Source organism: Homo sapiens, chromosome 15, assembly GCF_000001405.40.
Source record: "Homo sapiens chromosome 15, GRCh38.p14 Primary Assembly".
Taxonomy (NCBI): Eukaryota; Metazoa; Chordata; class Mammalia; order Primates; family Hominidae; genus Homo; species Homo sapiens.
In genome coordinates, this window is record NC_000015.10 from 55,336,027 (window position 1) to 55,361,040 (window position 25,014).

General features: G+C 39.0%; 2 protein-coding genes and 1 long non-coding RNA gene across 15 annotated transcripts in view, besides 1 other annotated feature; 1 reads left to right on the forward strand and 2 right to left on the reverse strand.

Annotated features, from left to right (window-relative positions):
- PIGB (phosphatidylinositol glycan anchor biosynthesis class B) overlaps positions 1–19,622 on the forward strand; it is a 36,427-nt gene extending 16,805 nt beyond the window's left edge. For 8 of the 10 annotated variants that reach the window (NM_004855.5, XM_011522236.4, XM_047433363.1 and 5 more), the window contains 6 exons: positions 3,241–3,292; positions 4,586–4,797; positions 5,712–5,776; positions 14,673–14,886; positions 18,772–18,952; positions 19,260–19,622. In NM_004855.5, the coding sequence (NP_004846.4) occupies positions 3,241–3,292; positions 4,586–4,797; positions 5,712–5,776; positions 14,673–14,886; positions 18,772–18,952; positions 19,260–19,406 (871 nt within the window). In that variant the 3' untranslated portion in view covers positions 19,407–19,622. Of the gene's footprint in view, positions 1–3,240; positions 3,293–4,585; positions 4,798–5,711; positions 5,777–14,672; positions 14,887–18,771; positions 18,957–19,259 lie in introns of those variants that run through there. The other 2 variants (XM_011522235.4, XM_047433365.1) reach the window with 2 other exon arrangements.
- Positions 16,774–17,417: an enhancer, noted in NCBI's record as "NANOG hESC enhancer chr15:55644998-55645641 (GRCh37/hg19 assembly coordinates)". NCBI's record gives its function as "activates a minimal SCP1, AML or CMV promoter by ChIP-STARR-seq in primed H9 embryonic stem cells {active_cell/tissue: H9 hESC(primed)}" and the evidence as "EXISTENCE:reporter gene assay evidence [ECO:0000049][PMID:30033119]".
- DNAAF4-CCPG1 (DNAAF4-CCPG1 readthrough (NMD candidate)) overlaps positions 19,197–25,014 on the reverse strand; it is a 143,362-nt gene continuing 137,544 nt past the window's right edge. The window contains exons 15-16 of the long non-coding RNA NR_037923.1: positions 23,513–24,918; positions 19,197–20,383 (exon numbers count right to left, since the gene is read on the reverse strand). This is a non-coding gene — a long non-coding RNA (DNAAF4-CCPG1 readthrough (NMD candidate)). The remainder of the gene's footprint in view (positions 20,384–23,512; positions 24,919–25,014) is intronic.
- CCPG1 (cell cycle progression 1) overlaps positions 19,213–25,014 on the reverse strand; it is a 53,121-nt gene continuing 47,319 nt past the window's right edge. For 2 of the 4 annotated variants that reach the window (NM_020739.5, NM_004748.6), the window contains exon 8: positions 19,213–24,918. In NM_020739.5, coding sequence (NP_065790.2) covers positions 23,473–24,918 — 1,446 coding nt within the window. In that variant the 3' untranslated portion in view covers positions 19,213–23,472. The remainder of the gene's footprint in view (positions 24,919–25,014) is intronic. The other 2 variants (NM_001204451.2, NM_001204450.2) reach the window with 2 other exon arrangements.

Sequence of the window (25,014 nt, forward strand, 5' to 3'; positions counted from 1 at the left end):
AAAGTCTGTGGGGGAAAAAGATATAACAATACAGATGCTCCTTGACTCAGGGTTACATCTTGATAAACTCATTGCAGGTTGAAAATATCATAAGTCAGGCAAGGCACAGTGGCTCACACCTGTAATCCCAGTGCCCTGGGAGACCAGGAGTTCAAGAACAACCTGAGCAACATAATGAGACCCCATCTCAACAAAAAAATTTAAAAATTGGCCAAGTATAGGTGGCACTAGGCACGCCTGTGGTCCTAGCTACTTGGGAGGATGAGGCAGGAGGATCCCTTCAACCCAGGAGTTCAAGGTTGCAGTGAGCTATGATCATTCCACTGCACTCCAGCCTGGGAAACAGAGTGATAACCTGTCTCTAAACAAAATAAATAACAAAGAAAATATTCTACGTCAAAAATGCACTTAACACATCTAACGTACTGAACATCACAGCTTAGCCTACCATAAACGTGCTCAGAACGCTTACATTAGCCTACAGTTGAGCAAAATCATCTAACACAAAGCCTATTTCATAATAAAATATTTGAATATCTCATGTAATTCATTGAATACTGTACTGAAAGTGAAAAACAGAATGGCTGTATGGGTACCATTTTAAAGTTGAAAAATCGTAGGTTGAATCATCATCAGTTAGGGATTGTAATTCTTACCCAGTGATTTAAAGTGTTCTAGTGGTTGGGCACGATGGCTCACGCCTATAATCCCAGCACTTTGGGAGGCTGAGGCAGGCACATCACCTGAGGTCAGGAGTTCAAGACCAGCCTGGCCAATATGATGAAACCCTGTCTCTGCTAAAAATACAAAAAAATTAGCTGGGCATTGTGGCACATGCCTATAATCCCAGCTACTTGGGAGGCTGAGGCAGGAGAAACGATTGAACCCCAGAGGTAGACGTTGCAATGAACTGAAATTGCACCACTGCACTCCAGCCTGGGCAACAGAGTGAGGCTCCATCTCAAAAATAAAACCTTACATCCAGATTATATATAAAACTTTTAAAAATCTATAAGAAAAAGATAACTCATAGAAAAATTATTGAAAAGGTTTCATCAGGTACTTCAAAAAATATTAAAATGGCCAATAAATATAAAGAGACTCATTTCATTTGTTATCAAGGAAAAACAAAGTAAAGCCACCATGAAATACTACTATACTATACATCCACCCAAATGGCTAAAATGATGTGGAACTTATATATTCCTGTGGGACTGCAAACTAATACACTATTTTGGAAAACTTTTAAGTACTTACAAAAGCTAAATAAATACATAGTTGCACTTACAACTTAGGGCAGGGGTCACCAGTCCCAAGGCTGTGGACTGGCCCCAGTCCATGGCCTCTTAGGAACTGGGCTGCACAGCAGGAGGTGAGCAAGCAAGCAAGCATTACTGCCTGAGCTCCACCTCCTGTCACATTCTTACAGAAGTGTGAACCCTACTGTGAACTGCACATGCAAGGGATCTAGGTTGTGCTCCGTATGAGCATCTAATGTCCAGTGATCTGAGGTGGAACAGTTTCATCCAGAAACCATGCCCCACTCCCACCCCCGCAACCTGTTTGTGGGAAAACTGTCTTTCAAGAAACCAGACCCTGGTGCCAAAAAGGTTAGGGACCGCTACCTTAGGGCCCACCAATTCCAATCCTAGGTATATGTCTAACAGAAATGCACATATATGGATACCAAAAGATGTGTAAAAGAATGTTCATTGCAGCACTATTCACAATAGCTGGAAATGGAAGCACAGTGTCCATCAATAGAAGGAATACATACAGTGTGGTATACATAGTTACAATACACAGTATTGTAAAGGAATGAACTACAGCACGCAAAAAAACTTGGTTCAATCTCACAAGCACAATGACTAAAGGAATTTAGACATGAGTACATATGGTATGATCCTATTCTTATAAAATTCAAAAAAAGATAAAACTCATCTATGTTATCAGAAATTAGGATAGTGGTTACCTTTGGGAAGAGGAAGGGTTACCTTTGGGTTACTTTTGGGGAGGAGGTAGGGACTGACTGATTGGAGGGACAAGGTGGTGCTGCTAATACTCTTTATCCTGCTCTGTATGGCAGGTACACAGTTGTGTTCATGTAGTGATGATTCATAGAGCTTTACCTTCATAGCGTATTTTTCTGTATATGTGTTTGTTGGAGGCAGTCTCTGAGATGGCCTCCAGTGATCCCATCCTCCTGCTATTTATGTCTTTGTATAATCCCCTCCCCCTTGAACATGGGCTAGATTTGTCGACTCAATTCTAATGAGTAGAATACAGCAGAAGGGATGGGATATCACTTACAAGACTGGGTTATGAAAAGACTATGGTGGCCAGGCACAGTGGCTTATATCTGTAATCCCAGCATTTTGGGAGGCCAATGGGGAAGTACTGCTTGAGGCCCGGAGTTTGAGACCAGTTGGGTAATATAGTGAGACCCCATCTCTACAGAAAATCCAAAAATTATCCAGTCATGGCGGCACACACCTGTAGTCCTAGTTACTTGGAAGGCTGAGGTGGGAGGATCACTTGAGCCCAGGAGGTCAAGGCTGCAGTGAGCCATGATCACACACTACTGCACTCCAGCCTGGGTGACAGAGCAAGACCCTGTCTCTAAAAAAAAGAAAAGAATACATAAATAAAAAGATTATGGCTTCCATCTTGGGTGCCTGTCTCACTCACTCTTGGCTGACTTACCCTGGGTTAAGCCAGTTAATTATGTCATGAGGCAGCTTTAAGGAAACGGCCATATGTTGAGGAACTTAGCCCCACCAGCAACCATGTGAGCAAATTTGGAAGCTGATCTCTCCACCTGTAATTGAACCTTCAGATGAAACTGTAGCCCCTGCTAAGAGCTTGACTACAATTCATGAGCGACCTCGAGCCAGAGGCACCCAGCTAAGCAACACCTAGGTTCTTGATCCACAGGAACTATGAAATGGTAAATATTCATAGTTTAAGTTAACAAGTTTTGGGGTAATTTGTTATACAGCAGTAGTCTTTCAATAATCTTTTTATTAATATATTTTTTACAATATTAATCGATTATATAATCTTATCTACTGATCTTTTTCAGTAGATACCTTTCAAAATGTGTAAATCTATATTCAGTTGGTGAAACTGTAAAGCATTTTTATAGTGGCTTTTGATGCAAGGCACGTACAAAGCCATATGCTAATAGTGGATTTTCAGCAAGCTCCAAATGTGAATCACTATGCTATTTTTGTTTTTCAGCTTTGTTACTTTGAGTTTGTCTCTGATGATTGATCGTATTTTTTTTGGCCAAGTAAGTAAAAGTATATTAAGCTAACAGCTATTTTTATTTTTAATCCATTAATACTTTAGAACAGAGGCAAATGATTTTTTAAATGATATGGGATACATTACAAAAGACTTCTAGGCATATCCTAATAAGCCTTTGGTTCAATTTGTTGTGCTTTCTACATAAAAGAATTAGTACTCCTAGCTAATATTCAGGAGAGTACATTTTAAGGCAGGGAATTATTAAGTGAGCACTGAATGTTACCTGTTGCTGTTTCTGTCATTATTGTCAGCTTTACGCTGTAATTCAAATTGTAATGTTTTCAAAGCTTTATCTTCACAGGTAATATGTCACATTGTAAAGTACCACACAGTCCAAAAAATATGTCTACTATCCTCTTTATCTCTTAACTGGATATAAAACTTGGATGGAGCTGGAGGCCATTATTCTAAGTGAAATAACTCAGGAATGGAAAGCCAAATATCATATGTTCTTACTTATAAGTGGGAGCTAAGCTATGGGATGCAAAGACATAAGAATGATATAATGGACTCTGGTGACTCAGGGTGGGGAAGGGTGAGAGAGGGGTGAGAAATTCTTATTTCGAGTACATATTGGGTACAGTGTACATTGCTTGGGTGATGGGTGGACCAAAATCCTAGAAATCACCTCTAAAGAACTTATTCATGTAACCAGAAGCCATCTGTACCCCAAAAACTTGAAATAAAAACACAAACTTAGACTGCCAAAATATAAGTTTGATTCTCACTTTGAATCTCAAAAATCTAGTTTTACAAATTAACAAGGAACACATTAATACTTAAAGAAGAAAAAATAACAGTTAAGAAGGATTTCATACAGTCATTAATTAAAATTATTAGGCCAGGCATGGTGGCTCACACCTATAATCGCAGCACTTTGGGAGGCCGAGGCAGGCAGATCACGAGGTCAGGAGATTGAGACCATCCTGGCTAACATGGTGAAACCCCGTCTCTACTAAAAATAGAAAAAATTAGCCGGGCGTGGTAGCGGGCGCCTGTAGTCCCAGCTACTCGGGAGGCTGAGGCAGGAGAATGGCGTGAACCCGCGAGGCGGAGCTTGCAGTGAGCCGAGATCGCGCCACTGCACTCCAGCCTGGGCGACAGAGCAAGACTCCATCTTAAAAAAAAAAAAAAAAAAAAATTATTAATGTAAACTATTGCCTGGTTTTTAGACTTCAATTCTGATTTAATGTCAAAATTGTATCAATCCCCTAATGCCAAAGATTACTACTTGGCACTAACACATTTCTATTTATTTTTCCTTCAACGGTGCCAGTGGACTCTGGTTCAATTTAATTTTTTGAAATTTAACGTGCTGCAGAACTGGGGAACATTTTATGGTTCTCATCCATGGCACTGGTACTTCAGTCAAGGATTTCCAGTTATCTTGGGTACTCACTTACCCTTCTTTATTCATGGCTGCTATCTAGCACCAAAGAGATACCGGATACTTTTGGTGACTGTGCTGTGGACACTGCTTGTTTATAGGTAAGATTTTATTTGTTCAAAAGGCTAAAATTTTTTATGTTACCAAGAAATCAAATTAAATTCTTCAAAAAGTAAACTTTATGTTTTGGAGGTGCCATTAACTTTTGTTAGTGGGAATTATCTTAGAAGATACAAGTAGTAGTAATTATGGAGGCACTAGAGTGAATACTTTAGATATGTAGTTTGCTTAATAAGGATTACACTCAATTTTTAAGAACTTGGACTAATTTTATTTGCTTTAAAAAAAAAAAAAACAGACCAGGCACAGTTGCTCATGCCTGTAATTTCAATACTTTGAAGGCCAAGGTGGGAGGATTGCTTGAAGCAAGGAGTTCATGACCAGCCTGAGCAACATAGCAAGACCCTCTCTCTGAAAAAAAATTTAAAATTACCAGGGCATGATGGCATGTGCCTGTAGTCCTAGCTATTGGGGAAGCTGAGGCAGAAGGACTGCTTGAGCCCAGGAATTTAAGGTTGCAGTGAGCTATGATTGTGCTACTGCACTCCAGTCTGGGTGACAAAACAAGACCCTGTCTCAGTCAATCAGTCAATCAATACTACCAAAATTTTAAATTGAAGGACCACAGAAATACATTCTAAAATAAAAATGTATGTATCCTTATTCCAAATTTGACTAATTTCACTTACTTGGATTGAAATAGAAATCCCGTTTTTAGAATGTAACTGTACTTTGTAATTTCAAATTGACATCATATTTTATGATTAGTTTTACCATATCATAATCACCTTATAACTAAAAAATAAGATGAATTTCTGAAGCAAGAAATTCAGTCTGAATACTTAGAAAATAAATAGATCAAGTTAAATATATTTTATATTAAATATATTACTTTCTCAATCTATCATATAACATGATAATTAATATTTTTTAATAATATTTGTTTTTATTACAGCATGTTGAGCCACAAAGAATTCAGGTTTATTTATCCAGTTTTACCATTCTGTATGGTGTTCTGTGGTAAGTGCTTTTGTTTGTTATAGAAAATAAATTATATAGAAATAGTCTAAAGACAACACATCCTCATTAAACTATGTCTATTTTCAACTAGGTTAATAAGGAATTACTTAATTACAGATTAATTATATTACTGCAATATTCCCTTTTTGTAGTCCAAATATCTTTTTTCCTATATCCTCTAAAGTGAGATAAAAACATAAAGATCCTAGCCCAGTGCAGTGGTGTGCACTTTTAATCCCAGCTACTCAGAAGCCTGAGGCAGGAGGATCACCTGAGCCCAGGAGTTTGAGACCAGCCTACCATATGGCAAGTCCTTCTCTCAAAAAACAGACAAACAAAAAACCCACATAAATATCCAATACCCAAAGCAGTTTTTGGTGGTGGTGTTTCTATTTGGTGGTGGTGTTTCTCACTAAAAAGTAAAGTAACATGTCTGTTTTTAGATTAGCTATTTTAAGTTTATGGTTAAACTGTAAGGGTCTTCATTTTCACAAAGGAAAAATGTATTTACTGCTGTTGAAACTAGTTTTTAATGCTTTTACACACAAAACATTTACACTTTTAAAACTCACTCTAAGGCATATGCAATTATTATTATTATCTTTTTAGACAGAGTCTCACTCTGCTGCCCAGGCTGGAGTGCAGTGGCACGATCTTGGCTCACTGCAACCTCCACCTCCCTGTGTTCAAGCAATTCTCCTGCCTCAGCCTCCCGAGTAGCTGGGATTACAGGCATCCGCCACCATACCCGGCTAATTTTTGTATTTTAAGTAGAGACAGGGTTTCACCGTGTTGGCCAGGCTGGTCTCGAACTCCTGACCTCAGGTGATCCACCCGCCTCAGCCTCCCAAAAGTGCTGGGATTGCAGGCGTGAGCCACCGCGCCCAGCCTGGCATATGCCATTTTTTAAGTAATTAACTCCTGATTTTATTCAGGCCTTTTCTCCATTTTTCCACAGTCTTAACATGTATTTTTTTGTCACTTACAAAAATCCTTACATGACTCAATTCAGGAAAATCTGGGTTTTTACATTGGTTGGTTTGGAAAAATTACGAATTGAAACTTTATTAACTTCAAGTTTAATTCGGAATAAATGACTGTTGACTTCCTTCAAATATTAAGACCTTAAAAAAAATCACAGCGTTGAGAGAGAAGAAATGACTAGCCAACTGGAACTGGAGGCTGGAAAAAACCTAGGGAGTTACAGTTTTCAAACTTATTTTTTACTTAAAAAAAAAGAAAAACATTGAGTTAGGCAATGTTTGACCAAGTATACATCAACTCCTACAGATCTGAGATGTATAATCTCTTCAATTTAAGAAGATAAACATACAAATATAAAATCAAATATTAAAAATCTGTATTTTTGATACATCTGAAGTTCTGAAATCAAAGCCTCAGTCTGTCATTACTTTACAGTGTAACCACATACAAACGCAGGCACATACAAAAATTTAGACATCTAACAGCTATTTGGCAAGCCTTAAGAATAGCTGGCCCCATTTGTCAGAGGAAATCTGTTCATAAATCACTATTCAGATGTTAAATGGTTTCTGTTCTGTTGGGTTTTTTTACAGCCACTTGAGTGTGTATTATAATTAAATCAAGCATTGGCAGAGTACAAAGGCAAATGTTTTTGTGTGCCTGGAGGGGACGGGGAGGTTGGTTAGTAACTTGGTTTGATTTCTGTTTTCATAAACCAGATTTTTCCAGCATTCCTCTTCTGTGTCCTGTTGCTTTACCAAGTATTTACACAAAGATTGAGTTGTCTGAATCCTCATTGCCAGTCTAAAAGATTGAATCTTTAAGTGGCAAGATCCCTGTAACCAGGGCCTATTCACAGTTTATTGAGATAAAATGCTGATGAGGGGTAAAGAGAGCCCCTTCTAATAGGTAAGAATCACCCCTTCTTCCATCCTCTGTCTACTTAGAAGGATCCCTAAAAGACAGCAACCTAGAAAACCCCTTGATCTCCTCACAGGATGCATTCTTTTCCTCCACACCCTACCTAAGGTTCTAGAGTGGGTCAAAAAACTCTAATTCCTAGGAGATTTGTACTTCCACTAACAGTCAGGGCTGTTTAATGCCAAGAGGTTCCAACAGTAGGATCAGTTCTGTCTAGTGATGTCACCTAGACAGAAATCTCTGGACATTTAGAACAGTTCTCTTTGGAGCTCTTGATGTTTTAGTGACCCAGTTTGAATCTTTCCTAACTACTTGAAATCTTGAGTTATACCACAAATTTCAGCCTTATTCTGCTTTGTGTGACTTGTTTTAACCTATTTTTATGTAAACATGACAACTCTGTCAGCCATTGCTGTGTAAAAGGCCACCTCAAAACTGTAGTGGCTTAAAACTCCATTTATTATAATTTACAGGTCTACATTTCAACTGGGCAGTTCTCATCTCCACTGAGCTCACTTACACAGCTGCAGATTGGGTAGATAGCTCTATTGACCTAGGCTGGGCTCTCATGTCTGGGGTTCAACTAGCTGTAGGCCAAGTCTTCTCAGCTCTTCTGAGTTTTCTCTTCCTCCAACAGGCCAGCTAGGGCTTGTTCACTTGGCATAGGCCGGGTTCCAAGAGAGGGAGCAAATATGCAAGGCCCTTTGAGACAAGGGCTTGGAATTTGCATACTGTCACTTCCACCACATTCTTTTCATGAAAGCAAGTCACTGGGCCAGGCCAGATTCAAGAGGTGGGGAAATAAATGCCAACCTCATAGTGGGATGGGACACAGGAAGAAAAATAATTGCAGCAGTTTTTTCAGTCTACGGTAACTTCTCTTGCCTAATTTGAATTTCCCTTAGTCCTATAAAATAGGACTCAACTCTAGAAAATATATTTTGTGACTGGCTCTGATCTTTAGTGAATTGTTCAACAATGTGCCTCATTTTCCTTATCTGTAAAAGAAAGGTGATATTTTAGCAACACTAATTAAATTCTTAGTTTGAATCTCTCATTTGTGCTGACAGAGTTCAGCACCCACTACTGATTCTGAGTTGAGTGTCTGCTTATCTGTTTTTACCACAGTGGCTAATATAGACTTCTCTCTTACTGGGCCACTTTGTTTTTCCATATTCTTATCTTTTTTTTTTTTTTTTTTTTTTTGAGACAGAGTCTCTCTCTGTCGCCCATGCTGGAGTGCAGTGGCGCAATCTCAGCTCACTACAACCTCCGCCTCCTGGGTTCAAGAGATTCTCCTGCCTCAGCCTCCAGAGTAGCTGGAATTACAGGCCCATGCCACCACAGCCAGCTAATTTTTGTATTTTTAGTTGGGGCTTGACCATGTTGACCAGGCTGGTGTCGAACTCCTGACCTCAGATGATCCACCTGCCTTGGCCTCCCAAAGTGCTGGGATTACGGCATGAGGCACCACAGCTGGCCCCATATTCTAATCTTTTTATCAAAATTGCATATGTACATTATTTCAGAAGACATTCCACAAGGAATTAAAAAAAAAAATTGTTCCCCTGCTCTCCCTATTTCCTCTCCCCAAAAACAATCAGTTAAGCATTCTTTCAGCTGGTTATTTTGGTATTTATCTCGATATCTCTAAAACATTTATAATGCCACTTAAAGGTCTTTGTTTTAGGCATTAACTGTTGAATTCTATCGAAGATGGAAAGATGGCTTTACTTCCTTAACAAAATAGCAACATAAAATTCTTCCTGGCCAGCTGCCAGTGGCTGACGCCTGTAATCCTAGCACTTTGGGAGGCTGAGGTGGGTGGATCACCTGAGGTCAGGAGTTCAAGACCAGCCTGGCCAACAGGGTGAAACCCTGTCTCTACTAAAAATACAAAAATTAGCTGGGTGTGGTGGCACGCACCTGTAATGCCAGCTACTTGGGAGGCTGAGACAGGAGAATCACTTGAACCCTGGAGGTGGAGGTTGCATTGAGCCGAGATCGGCACCACTGCACTCCAGCCTGGGTGACAGAGCGAGATTCTGTCTAAAAAAAAAAAATTCTTCTTGATACCTTCATCTGTGCCCAGTACCCTCATTATGGTTAGTAGTTCAAAGTCTCTCTTTCCCAGCCCCATTCTACTGTATGTCCCATTCCAGAATTGAACCACCTTTTGTTGTTCTTATCTAAACACTGAAACTAAGCTTTCTCAAAGAGTATTTAAAAATAGAAACAGTAACTCAGATATCTCTCTAATTGGTAAAATGTGGTAGGGATTTTTTTTCTTAACATTAGGTTTCCTGATAATTCTTGTCAAAACCAGGATGGAATCAGCAATGTACAGTCTCAGATACTCCCATCCTCTCTATTACCGTGAACCTTACCTTGGTAAGAAGGAACGTATTAGTGATTGCTGGAAAATACAGAATGCCACGCTAGATATCCAAAATTTTTAAAGTGTGTATATCAAGCTAAATAATACATGATGATTAAGAGATATGGCTTTATAAAGGAACCACCTCATGAAGTATCTTCTTATATGCTCAGGTTTTTAGATTTTATCCTGAAGAGTAGTCAACTGAGATGTAATGGATTTTAAACATTTCTGTAACAGTAGTCTGATGAACATGATCTGATAGGAGCCCAGTGTATTTTTTTATTATAAAAATAAATGCCGATGGTACAAAAATAGTGTGTCATCCTCAAGTCATCTAGTCCCATTCCCCAGAGGTAACTATTGTTATCACTTTCTTAAGCAGTTCTTCCAGAAATTTTCTGTATACCGACTTTCAAGTATCTTTTTGTAGGCCCAGATAACAGGAGCAAATTAAGTATTTAGGGGTGATGTTTAGCATCCAGTTAGCAATGGGTTGTTACTATGTGAAAGGAAGGAACCTATACTTTAGTCACTGGGGTACACACACAGTCTTAAATCTTCAGTGATTGGGATACACATCATTTACGTGGTGGGGATGATCACTTTCTGAAGCTAGGTCATTTGAGGGTGGATTATTTCAGTGAGAACTCCATCTCCAAATTTGTGCGTGCCATTAAGTAGACTTACTGGATGTCACCTACTGGAATCTTGTTCATTTGTTTTAAATATTGATGAAACAATACTACTGGTCTATAAGAAAACCATGGACCTTAGGCTTCTCTTGTGGTTCACTCAGTCTAGCATTGGAACTGGAAAATCTTTCCAACCCTTCCTTTAGCAACTCATTTCTGAAATCCCCTTTGGAAGCTTTCAGTGCCAGAAGGTTTAAAAACCCCTCAGAGGCCTTAAATTCAGGACTCTTGACTTATACTCTAAAGTTGGGTTCTTTTCTAACATGTGCACAAGTCATTTGATGATAACTGAAATTATAAAGATATTTTCTTTATATGTCAAATGCATAGTAATGCTTATAGGATGCTAAACATGTAAATAAAGGCAGTTCTGGCTGGGCGCTGTGGCTCACGCCTGTAATCCCAGCACTTTGGGAGGCTGTGGCGGGCAGATCACCTGAGTTTGAGACCAGCCTGGCCAACATGGTGAAACCCCATCTCTACTTAAAATACAAAAATTAGCCGGGCATGGCGGCAGGCACCTGTAATCCCAGCTACCCAGGAGGCTAAGGCAGGAGAATCGCTTGTAACCCAGGAGGTGGAGGTTGCAGTGAGCCGGTATCATGCCACTTGCACTCCCGCCTGGGCGAAAGAGCGAGAGTCCATCTCAAAAAAATAATAATCATAAAGACAGTTCTATTTTAAATAAGGTTTTATCCCCAAACTTCATTTTTAAGTTGGAACCTGAAATATTTTTTTCTTAGAAATAATACTGTGACATGTAGTAAGGCTCCCAGAATATTACACAAAAGCTCATCGGATCCATAATACTGTTGAAGACAATTTTGAATGGCAACTGTTTCAGTATCCACTGTCCCCAAGAAAACTAAGCTATCACCTGACTCTCCCTGGCATTGTTCAGCTGTTCCTTCTCTTCCCAGCATTTTCTTTATATTACTTCTCTAAGTAATATGGAGATTCAGTTCTCACTAAAATGATCCATCCTAAAATGAGCTAAGCTCAGAGAGTTAAAATCACCATCATGTAAGGCAAGCATTACCTAACTTAAGAGACGCTCTGTCTCACCAGTACTGAAGATGCTGGAAACACAAGCATGTTATCTTCCAGCATTCTACCCAGAGTGCTATTTTCACAGTCTTGATCACCAAGTATTCCCATTTTGTGTCACCCACCTATACTATTGTATTCCTAGTGCCATAGTTTCTTTTTTTTTTTTTTTTTTTTTTTTGAGACGACATCTCGCTCTGTCACCAGGCTGGAGTGCAGTGGCACGATCTCAGCTCACTGCAACCTATGCCTGCCGGGTTCAAGTGATTCTCCTGCCTCAGCCTGCCTCAGCTGGGACTACAGGCATGCGCCTCCACACCTAGCTAATTTTTGTATTTTTAGTAGAGATGGGTTTTCACGATGTTGGCCAGGATGGTCTCGATCTCTTCACCTCGCGATCTGCCCGCCTTGGCCTCCCAAAGTCCTGGGATTACAGGCGTGAGCCACAGCCCCCGGCCTTGAATGAACAAATTATTAATAAGTGAATCACTTTACACATGCTCACCTTGTAAGTATCTTCAAATAATTGAGAACAAACTGTATCTTCTCGGGCCTTGCTGTAGGATGGGCTTGCTGTAGTTTGGACGTTTGTCCCCTAAACCTTAGTTGAAATTTGATCCCCACTGTTGGAGGTGGGGCCTAATGGGAGATGCTTCGATCATGGGGGTGGAGCCTTCATGAATGGCTTGGCACCATCCTGGAGTAGTAAGTGAGTTCTCCTTATATTAGGTTCCATGAGAGTTCCCCCGAGTGCTGGCTGTACAAAAGAGCCTGGCACCTTCCACTTTCTTGCTTCTGCTCTCTCACCATGTGATCTCTGCACAAACTGACTCCCCTTCACCTTCTGCCATGAGTGGAAGCAGCCTGAAGCCCTCACCAGTGGATGCTTCTTGTACAACCTGCAGGACCATGAGCCAAGTAAATATAAATTAGCCAGTCTCAGGTATTCCAGTATAGCAGTACAAACAAAGACAAGGCTTTAATGTAGCTTTTTGTATTTGAGCCTACTAAAATAGATGTTGTTTTAGCCTACCAACCTAAGTTAAGTGCTTCAACTTATATTTGGGGATCTGCTGTGTCTGTGATTGGGGTTATTACAGATGGTTGAACTTTTAGAATCCTATTTTTTAATTTATTTTGAGACAGTTTCACTCTGTTGCCCAGGCTGGAGTGCAGTGGCGTGATCTCGGCTCACTGCAACCTCTGACACCACGCCCGGCTAATTTTTATATTTTAGTAGAGATGGGGTTTCACCTCTGTTGGCCAGGCTGGTCTTGAACTCCTGACCTCAAGTGATCCGCCTGCCTTGTCCTCCCAAAGTACTGGGATTACAGGTGTGAGCTACCGCACCTGGCCCTATTTTATTCATTTTTATTTTCGTAGAGACAGGGTGTCACCCAGGCTGGAGTGCAGTGGCGTGGTCATAGCTCACTGTCCCCTCAAACTCATGAGCACAGGTGAACCTCCTGCCTCAGCCTTCCCAGTAGCTGGATCTACAGGTGCGCACTATCACGCCTGGCTAATTTTTTTTTATTTTAAATGGAGTCTCACTATGTTGCCCAGGCTGGTCTTGAACTCCTGGCCTCAAGCAATCCTCTCATCTCAGCTATTTTATTTCAAATAAAGCTAGTTCTAATTATCATTCCTTTTAGTAGGTTCCTCATTTTACCATTTCAAACATCTTATAAATGTAGATTTAAGTGATAGGCTTAGTTTTCTTAATCTTGCTACATTTTTCACCACACCACTTTTCAGATTATTCTTTAATCAGAACTATTTCAAGTAGATTAAAAAATACTAGGTGACATGGACATGTGATATTCCAACTCATGAGGTATGAACTGTGGATGATATTAACATATTCATAGGAGGAACAAAATAAAAAACACTGCCTTGGTCCCATTCAGTATTGTACTAACATTTTGGGCAAACCAAGGTTTGGATGAAGAATACCCAAGTTCAAAAAGAACTATTATCTAGTTCTATAAAAAGAGTGTATGTAAATTATGAACAAAATGTCATGCTTACTAATAAGCTTAATCTTTTCCAGTGGAAAGGCCTGTTCTTTGTATTCTCAGTAGATCCTAATATGTCCATTAATAGTGGCTGTTGCTGAAGAAAAGGACTATCAGAGGGGAGAGAGACTTTTACTTATCCTTTTATACCCGTCTATTCATTCTACTTGGTTTTTTCCTTTGGTTTTTTGTTTTGTTTTGCCCCACAGAATAATCCCTTTCATAAATCAAAAAAGAAAAATTGTTCAGCATCTCCAAATTGCCTGACTGTAGTGGGAAAACAAAATTTCCCACTGTTGTGGGAAAAAAAATGTAAGACATAGCACCTTTTCTTCCACTCATATACTTACGGAAAATCTCCCAGGTGCCCAATGGCTTATTTTCCTAAGAGGACACATTATTGAAACTCGTATTACACACTAAAATACCAATTATTAGTGCTTGGGAGATTAAAGAGGTAGGTAAATGGAATAATTAAAAGTCCTATTTATTTAGCAACTACTATGTACCAGGGCAGTCACTGGACATTTTTTCTAACACTTGAATAAGGTACTATTATCCCAATGACCAGCAAAGTAAAACGACTTGTGCTAGAACTGGAATTCAAATCTGGACCTGTTGGACTCCATAACCATCATCTTTCCACTATACCTCAATACCTTTTACTAGAAAAAGTCAAGACCTAGATGACAGTAGTGAATGGTGAATGGTCAGAGATATGACTTATTGCTTATTTCTTATTTGTCTATAACAGTATTACAGTTTTTGCTATTTCCATTAAAAATTACAGATGTATTTGCAGTTAACATAACAAAAGATTGTCAGTGTTAAGGTTCAATATGTCTATCTTCATATAGGATACTCATTAACCCACCTGAAAACATGGAAGAAACCAGCTCTAAGTTTCCTGTTTTTATCAAATTTGTTCCTCGCCCTTTATACTGGTTTAGTTCATCAACGAGGTACTCTTGATGTCATGAGTCATATTCAAAAAGTTTGTTACAACAATCCCAATAAATCTTCAGCTTCAATATTTATAATGATGCCTTGCCACTCTACTCCTTATTACAGGTAATAAAAGATGTTCCACTATATGCTGTTAAGAAACTGAAACTGACTACTTTAAAATTCCCTTTCAGATTCCTGGATTTGAATTAATTGGTCACTGATCAAATGATAAATTTTAAACTCCCACATATTTATTCACTGATGGATTTTAAAAACCACTTGAACTGTGTCAAAGAAAATGTTTTAAATAAACTTTTTTTCTTTTTTTTTTTTTTTTGAGACGGAGTCTGTTCTATTGCCCAGGCTGGAGTGCAGTGGCGCGATCTCGGCTCACTGCAAGCTCCGCCTCCCAGGTTCACGCCATTCTCCTGCCTCAGCCTCCCGAGTAGCTGGGACCACAGGTGCCTGCCACCATGCCCGGCTAATTTTTTCTATTTTTAGTAGAGATGGGGTTTCACCGTGTTAGCCAGGGTAGTCTCGATCTCCTGACCTCGTGATCTGCCTGCCCTGGCCTCCCAAAGTGCGGGGATTACAGGTGTGAGCCACCGTGCTCGGCCGTAAACTTTATTATTCTTTAAAAACAATTTACTTACACCTAATTCTGATTTAAATCAGTATAAAACAATTTGTAGGTATCTGATAGTCTTCTTAGTAAAGAAACTCATGTATTACTTACCTTACTACAAATCTCTGTGATACATCTTTACACAATTTGAATTAATCTTAAAACATGGATTTTAGGCCGGGCGCCGTGGCTCACGCCTGTAATCCCAGTACTTTGGGAGGCCGAGGCGGGTGGATCACAAGGTCAGAAGATCGAGACCATCCTGGCTAAGCTGGGTGAAACCCCGTCTCTACTAAAAATACAAAGAATTAGCCGGGCGTGGTGGCAGGTGCCTGTAGTTCCAGCTACTCGGGAGGCTGAGGCAGGAGAATGGCATGAACCCAGGAGGCGGAGTTTGCAGTGAGCCGAGATTGCACCAGGTGCACTCCAGCCTGGGCAACAGAGCAAGACTCTGTCTCCAAAAAAAAAAAAAAAAAAAACATGGATTTTAGTCCAGATTTACTACTGGATTATTGCCCTCATCTTAAACTAGACTTCTTTTTTTTTTTTTTTAGATGGAGTTTTGCTCTTGTTGCCCAGGCTGGAGTGCAATGGCGTGATCTTGGCTCACTACAACCTCTGCCTCCCGGGTTCAAGCGATTCTCCTGCCTCAGCCTCCTGAGTAGCTAAGATTACAGGAATGTGCCACCATGCCCGGCTAATTTTGTATTTTTATTGGAGACAGGGTTTCTCCATGTTGGTCAGGCTGATCTCGAACTCCCGACCTCAGGTGATCCGCCCACCTCAGCCTCCCCAAAGCGCTGGGATTACAGGCGTGAGCCACCGCACCCGGCCTTAAACTAGATTTTTAATCTCTTTGGACATCAGTTGTCTCACCTGTAAAAAATTAGGGAATGCGACTAGATGATATTCTAATGCTTGAATTAAGTGTTTCTGGGAAATATACTAAAATTGCCTCAACTATGTATGGCCTTTAAAAAGACATCCATTTGTTCCTGTGCTTTATTTCAGGAAGCTGTATTAGTTACTAATTACCCAGTAATGGTATAGGGGCAAAGGAGCCAGATTTCCTACAGAAAATTATATACCAGGCTGGGCGTTGTGGCTCACGCCTGTAATCCTAGCACTTTGTGAGGCCGAGGCGGGCAGACTGCCTGAGCTCAGGAGTTTGAGACTAGCCTGGGCCACATGGTGAACCCCTGACTCTACTAAAATACAAAAAAAATTGGCCAGGTGTTGTGGCGCATGCCTGTAGTCCTAGCTACTCGGGAGGCGGAGGTTGCAGTGAGCTGAGGTCATACCATTGCACTCCAACCTGGGCGACAGAGCGAGACTCAACCTAAAAATAAATAAATAAATACATAAAATCTATAACTATTTAACTCAGTCTGGCTTTAAACAATCTGGAGTTAATGTCTCCTATGCACGTTCAATTAATTTAATTACAGTGGTTATCATTTTAGGGGAATTTAACACTTGGAATACTCCTATTTAACTAATCATTAATGCCAGTAATTAATATACAGTTTAGAAAAATGGAGATCCTAGCAAAAACCACAGGCTAAAAGGAAGACATCAAGTATCCTTTCAACTTGAGGATTCCCTACTATATGTATATGTGGCTGAAAAAGGGACATTCACTCTCCGTGCTCACATTAGGGATAATACTGAGGAGAACAGGAATCCTAGATGTACCAAGATGTTCTTTATACTTAACTGTAGTCAGTTGATGTCTTAGGCTTTGAATAGTTCACCAAGTTCTCCACACCTTTTCAAAGCACACAAGAGAGGAAAGTCTGATGCCTATTTTGCATCAGACTTGGAAGTAGAGAGCAACATCTGTCCCTTGATTAACATCCAAATAAGTAATGGCTTTACTGTGGCATAGAAAGACTAGAGTAGGCCGGCAGCTTTTTCTGAGGAATTTCTGCTTCCCTTTGAAACAAGACCTTCATTTCCAATAAATAAATCACTATTAGGTCTTGTGTACATTTAATTTTTATGCATTTCATAAATAAACCTCCTGCATAATTACTAACTCCATTTCTAACTGGAAATTTTAAATGTTTGTATCAGTGAGGTTTAATTTTTCCTAAGGCAATTATAAACATGGCTTTTTGCATGACCTAAGTAACTGGCTTAAATTGTCATAACTGGTATTAGAAATGAATCCATCTTTTTTATACTCTAATCTTTTTTTTGTTTTGAGACAGACTCTTGCTCTGTCGCCCAGGCTGGAGTGCAGTGGCGTATGATCTCAGCTCACTGCAACCTCCGTCTTCTGGGTTCAAGAAATTGTCCTGCCTCAGCCTCTTGAGTAGCTGGAACTACAGGCACATACCACCATGCCCGGCTAATTTTTGTACTTTTAGTAGATACAGGGTTTCACCATGTTGGCCAGGCTGGTCTTGAACTCCTGACCTCCAGTGATCCACATGCCTTGGCCTCCCAAAGTTCTGGGATTACAGGCATAAGCCACTGCACCCGGCCTACTCTAGTCTTTCTATGCCACAATAAAACCATTACTTATTTGGATGTTAATCAGTGGACATATGTTGCTCTCTACTTCTCAATCATCTTAAATAAAAAAAAAAAACACTTCAAACTTGCCATGTGGCTGGGCGTGGTGGCTCACACCTGTAATCCCAGCACTTTGGAAGGCTGAGGCGGGTGGATCACCTGAGGTTAGGAGTTCAGGACCAGCCTGGCCAACATGGTGAAACCCCATCTCTACTAAAAAAATACAAAAATCAGCCAGGCGTGGTTGGCGGGCGCCTGTAATCCCAGCTACTTGGGAGGCTGAGACAGGAGAATTGCTGGGAGGTGGAGGTTGCAGTGAGCTGAGATTGCGCCATTGCACTCCAGCCTGGGTGACGAGAGCGAAACTCTTGTCTTCAAAAAAAAAAAACTTGCCATATAAGTATGTGATCCATCCCCTATCAGAGCAGAAAGGGAAGAGAGAAAGAATCCTTTCTGATTATGATCACAGTTTCCTACTTTATCAAATACACCTATGGAGAATTACTCTCCTATTAACAAGTTAACTTACCTGGTCCTGAGGACCATTTATGTTTCCGGAACAGAATACCAATGCTACAGAATGTTGAGTCCCCCTACTGACCTACTTCCCTCCTTGAAATGGACTTCTATGCACTAGTTTGGGCTTATAGGTTATACTGCTGCTGCTGCATAGGTACATGGTATAAGAATCATGTTTTTTTTATCTTTGAGAAAATGAGTTAAAGGCTTGCTTCTTCACTTAACTGCAACACAGTTTACAGATTCAGATTTCACATTTTGCTAAGTATAAATGACATATCTTAAGACTAATGAAAACTTTCATGTTTTACTTGTATTTATTATGGTAACTTTTCTTTTCATAGCCATGTTCACTGCCCACTTCCCATGAGATTTCTCCAGTGCCCGCCAGACCTGACTGGAAAAAGTCATTATCTTGATGAAGCAGATGTATTTTACCTAAATCCCTTAAACTGGTTACATAGAGAGTTTCATGATGATGCATCATTGCCTACTCACTTGATCACCTTCAGCATTTTGGAAGAGGTAAGTAAACATGAAAAAGAGGAAAACTCAGTATTTTAATTTTACCCCAGGTTTAGGAAACCCTCAGGTAAATAGATAATATAACCTTTTTATGGTCTGTTTCAACCCACATTTCATAATTAGTCTTTTCTCCAGTCAAAATTAGCCCCAGTTCTGTAACTATCAAAGTATTTTACTTCCTATAAGTTAATTCTTTTATTAAGCAAAAAGTTGTAGACAGCAATTAGAATAGGCAATTCTAAAATTGACTGAAACAGTACTCAGCAAAATGTAGCCTTTATTTACTTAAACATTTATTTGCTTCTAGGAAATAAGCGCTTTCCTAATTTCAAGCAATTATAAAAGAACTGCTGTTTTCTTCCACACTCACTTGCCAGAGGGTCGAATTGGAAGTCACATATATGTCTATGAACGGAAGTTAAAAGGGAAATTCAACATGAAGATGAAATTCTGAACTTTCCTAGATAAATTAACATTGCTGGGTGGAAATATTCAGATGCTGCTTAAATACTTCGGTAAACACTGGGTAAGATTCATGGAACTTAGAAAAAAGCTGTATGAACTGCTTTACCAAATATCACTACTGAGGAAATGTATAAAATACCACATAGTATAAAATTACATGTTAATACAATGCCAGATTTTAAATAAAGACCTTTAGTTTTCCTCATGGTGTAGTTTTATTGTTTCTTCCACGATATTCAGATGTGCAAAAAATTTCACAAGAAAACAAGTCAGCAAGCTCTTAAGAGGGCAGCAAATTCTTCACAAGTCAGAGGGCTCTTGAACCCACAAAAAGACAAGAAGTGAGTGTAAGATTATAAAATGTTAATGATGAAATTCCAGAACAATGTACTTTTCTCAAGCTCTGCTGCAAATTTAACACAAACATCAGTGTTAATTACACTTTGTCATGTATGACTGAGCTTGCTTTAAGCTCTTACACTGAAAGGAAGTCTCATTTCATGCACAAAATCTGTTGCATGCCTGGCTTCCTTAATAAAACTACAGTTGAACATTTCCAGTGTCAAAAAAAATTCAACGAAGCTAAACTACAGGAAAATGCAGGTTAGTAGACTTTTAACTAATGCTTCTGAGGAATAATATAAAGTTATCAAACTGATACTTAGAAACAAAAGAAAAGACATTGTCATCTTGGTAATTTCATTAGTTTCAATACCAAACATTATACAAAGCATAAATTTTTCTCTTACAGTTGTCTAATTTAACTCAATTGTGAATCAGTATTGAGGATCAAAAGGTAATTGCCCCAATTCTATTTCAAGATTTGCCATTTGTCTTCCATTAGTGCGACCATATTTATGCCATTTACCTTCCCTTTTATAAGGCTGTGGCTGAAGGTGCTTCTGCTCTTGTTTTCGATGCCTGGAGTTTTCAATATTTACCATACGTTGCTTTTTATCAGGTCGACTGAAAGCAGTAAACACATTTTTCATCTATGTTAGAGTTCAATGTATTTAAATTTAAAACAATTTTAAATGTTTTCTCCATTAATCTATGATCTGAACACTGATAAAAGATATTAAATATCTGAATTACAATCCTAGTATATCCATATAAAAATAAAGGAGTCTGTATTAGTTTTTTTGTCCTATAGAAAGAAAAAATAGACAATAACTCTACTGGCAAAAAAGGGAAACACTCAAAAGATAACAAAGAAAAGAAATGTGACAATAAAATAATGAGATGTGTTTCCATTATTTTTCCTCCTTTCCTATAAAAATCAGTCCCTCCCCGCTGGCTTTATCACTCAGCAGAAATACATACACATCTCTCACAAACAAAGCAAAACAAAAGTCTCAACTTTTTCTTACAGCAAAAGCTCACAACACCTACACCGCTTTCCTTAATGTCTATGATCAGGCTTCCGTCACTACTTCACTGGAAGTCCATACTGTCATCCCCTGGCCGCCCAGTTTCCAAGCCAAGAAAACATTTTCCGCACATCAACTTTTTAAAAAGCATGACACATTTATTCCTTTTACTTGAGATGGCTTTTGGATTTTCAAGGTACCACTCCCCACTCCTGTCCTTAGCCTTCCCTACAACCCCATGGATGTTGGTGTTCTCCCAGGAGTCTGATAAATATACAGTCTCGGCAAAAGAGATGACCATAGAACTAACTGCCAACTAACCCTCTCCACTTGAATGTCAGTAGTTACCTCCAAACACAATTCTCATCTCCAATTACCCTTGCCCCAAACCTTGAATTCCCTATCTCAGTGGTACTACTATCCAACAAGATGACCCAACCCAGAAATCTAGAAGTCACTGTTACTTTCTACTTCTCCTTCACAAGAAATATCAATGTTACTATTTTCCAAATGTTTTTTCCTTTCCTCTCCTACTAGTATAGTCCCAGTTTAGATGTTCATCAGCTCATGTCTGTATTATATTGACCACCTTCTAGCTTCATACCTTTCCCATCAATCCTCTAGGCTGCTACCAATACATTAGTCCCACCGTATCCACGGCTTTACTTTCTGTGATTGAGGTTTCCGTTACCTGTGGTCAACTGTGGTCTGAAAATGTTAAATAGAAAATTTCAGAAATAATTCATCAGTTTTAGGCGGGGTACAGTGGCTCACGACTGTAATCCCAGCACTTTGGGAGGTAGACATGTGTGGATCACTTGAGGTCAGGATTTCAAGAACAGCCTGGCCAACATGGTGAAACCCCATCTCTACTAAAAATATGAAAATTAGCCGGGTGTGGTGGCACGTGCCTATAGTCCCAGCTACTTGGGAGACTAGGGAGGAGAATCACCTGAACCCAGGAGACAGAGGTTGCAGTGAGCTGAGATCGTGTCACTGCACTCCAGCCTGGCTGACAAAGCAAGATTCCATCTCAAATAATTAAAAAAAAATAATTCATAAGTTTTCAATTATATGCCTGTTCTGAGTAATGTAATGAAATAATGCAGTTCTGCTCCATCCCACATGGGATGTGAATCATCCTTTTCTTGTGTATTTACACTACCCACCCATTAATCACCTAGTAGCAGTCTGTTAATCAGATATACTGTTATCCTACCACAGTGTTTGTGTTCAAGTATCCCTAAGATAAGGATTAAGGATGATTAAGTAACTTAATAATGACCCCAAAATACAACAGTGATGCTGGCATTTGGATATGCCAAAGAGAAGCTATAAAGCGCCTCCTTTAAGTGAAAGGGTGAAGGTTCTCAAGAGAAATAAAAGTATGCTGAGATTGGTAAGATCTATAGTAAGAACAAACCTATGTGTGAGATTGTAAAGAAGGAAAAAGAAATTCATGCATAGTATATATAGAATTATGTTCTATCCCTGGTTTCCAGCATCCACTGGGGGTCTTGGAACATATATCCTGAAGATAAGGGGGGACTACTGTAATCTAAAATACAATATAATCTTATCCCACCCGCCTTGAAAATTCTTCAGAAGTTCTCCATGTCCTACAGGACAAAACCTTTAGCATAAAATGGGGCCCTTCATGGTCTGCATCTCTTATCCTCCAGCTCTACCCTGCTTCCTTAAAGCAGTGTATCTTCACATCTCCAAATGACCTTCCTTTTAAGTGAAATTCCCTTCCCTGTCTGCATAGCAAATCCTCATTTCTCTTCCAAAAGCTACTTTAAAAACTAAGTTCAGTTCAAAGGCCACCTCACTCAAGAAGCCTTTCCAAACACCTCCAGACAGCCTGAGGCCACCATGCCCCATACCTTAATTTCATTTATTTACTTAGCTTGTGAGCTCCTTTGAAGCAAAAATTTTTCACTTGTCTCCTCAAGGCAGCTTCACCTTTGTTCATTATAGGACTAGATACCAGCTTAATGACTAAAGACACCAGAATCAGTCTCATTATTTTATAGACACATTATATTTATTCAGAAAGATTAAGTATTTCAAAGGTAAAAAATGAAGCTAACATTTGAAGATTAGGTAAGTTTCATGTTACAGAATATAAAGATGAAAATGGATAAAAAATTATTATGAAGTACACACATTAGAATTTGACTTGCTTAGTTTGCCTCTTTGTGCCTCTACCTTTATCAAAGATAATTATGTGACTAAGTATCATAACTAAGCTGGTACATGGAATGGACAAGTGAAAATAGGTGGGACATTAGAATTATTATATATGAGCTCTTCTGACTTCAGAGTAAAATTTGTGTTGCTCATTCCTAGCTTCCAAAAGTGAATAAATACATAAAAGATTAAAGGAAAATAATTTCACTTAAGGTGATCTTTTCATATAAACTATAATGAAAAGAAACAAACTTGGCCAAAGTAGGATTTTATATATTCTTAACTGATTTTTAAGATAAAAATTAAACCATTTGCTCAAGTCAAAGTGATCACGTTATAATGAAATGTTCCATTTGTAACAGCTAATAATTTTTAGACTCCATCTTTCAATTTATTCTGAATTCTCTCAGTGGCCATAAAGCACAACTCTTAGAAACGGTAACCTTACAAGAAACTCATCAAATCATAAAAATGCTATCCAATCTACAAATGTTACAAACTACTGTAATGACACGGTTTTATGTAAACCGACCTGGGTCCATATGGAGGGGAAAAAGTGTGACCAAAGAAGTGTCTATATATATATTCATCCAACTTCTCAAATACTCCATCATTATCTACTTCATATTCCTTCATGTTTCTAAGATAATCTTTAACATCATTAACAAAGTCAGTGAAGAGCTTCTGATCATGTATAAAGACACCGTTTAGGAAAAACTTATTGATGAACTGATCAAGTTCGTTCCAGTGACAAAAAGTATCCAGTTCTTTTAACATGTACCTTTGAATTATCTGTCTAAATTCATCCATCCTTATAGGATTCACCACTGTGTTAAAAAGGCTCATGGACTCTTGTTGAGCACAATCAAATACACCAGAACAAGCCTTTCTGAAAGAATGAGAATTTTCTCTACAATCATGCCCAGGACTGCATTTCTTTGAATTTGTATTTTTTCTGAATTCTTTAAAGTGAACTGGCTTTTCTTTCCTTCCATCATTTTGCATAGTAGGGCCTCTATTATGATGGTTTTCTGTAGGTGCCTTATACTGTGGATGTAAATAGTCACTAAAAACTGTTCTTGGTTTTTCAGCTGCTTCTTTTGTAGCACCAAATCTTTTATTACCCTTTTCATCAAAGATATTCTTGGTGGTATCTTTAAAGTGTCTGAAAGTGGATTTAACTGAATCTGAGAATTTTTTCAGATTTTCCTTCACAGCTTCTTTAGCCTGCTTAATTTTCTCTTTATGATGCCTTACAAACTCCTTGGTAGAATTCTTCATGGCATCAAATGTTTCCTTAACTGAACCCAAAAATGTTTCCTTTGACTTATTTTTAGCCCTGTGGCTTCCTCTGCCCCCTTTCTTTTTTCCATCTGTTCCTTGTTTTCCATTTTGATCTTTTGCCTCAACATACAATCTTTCCCACAAATCAGAACGCTGCTGTTCGAAGGTTAGCTTCCGTTCCAGCTCAGTGAGTCTTTCCCGTAAGATTGCTATTTCCTTTTTTTCAGTATATACATTGGGAGAATCTGACTTGCCATGTAACTGACTACCACTTAACTGCTGGAGTTCCCCCCTTAAAGCCGTAGTTACTAGTCGTTCTCTCTCCAGTTCTCTCTTTAGCATCTTTGCTTCTGTCAACAGAGTCTCCCTTTGACTAAGAAAGCTGTGTTTTTTCTGCTTTTCCTCTTCCAAATGCTGCTTAAGTTTCTGATTTTCTTTAACTAATTCAGTACTTGTCCCTTTATCTTCCAATATTCTAATCTGTTCTCTTAGTTTGTTTAACTCTTCCTGTAATGAGGATAAGGCTTTTTCTTCCTTCTCCAAGGATACTCTTAAATACTGATTTTCTGTAGCAAGGTTCGTTTTCTGAGTTTCAAAGGACATCTTCTCTGCTTCAGTAAGTGTCCAACACCTTGCAAGATTTTCTTTCAATGACTACATTTTTTTTTGAAAGAGAAGAAATAAAATGTCAAATGCTTTAAAAGCTGAATTTAAATCTTCAAGATATAATACCCCATAAGCTTTTGTGTC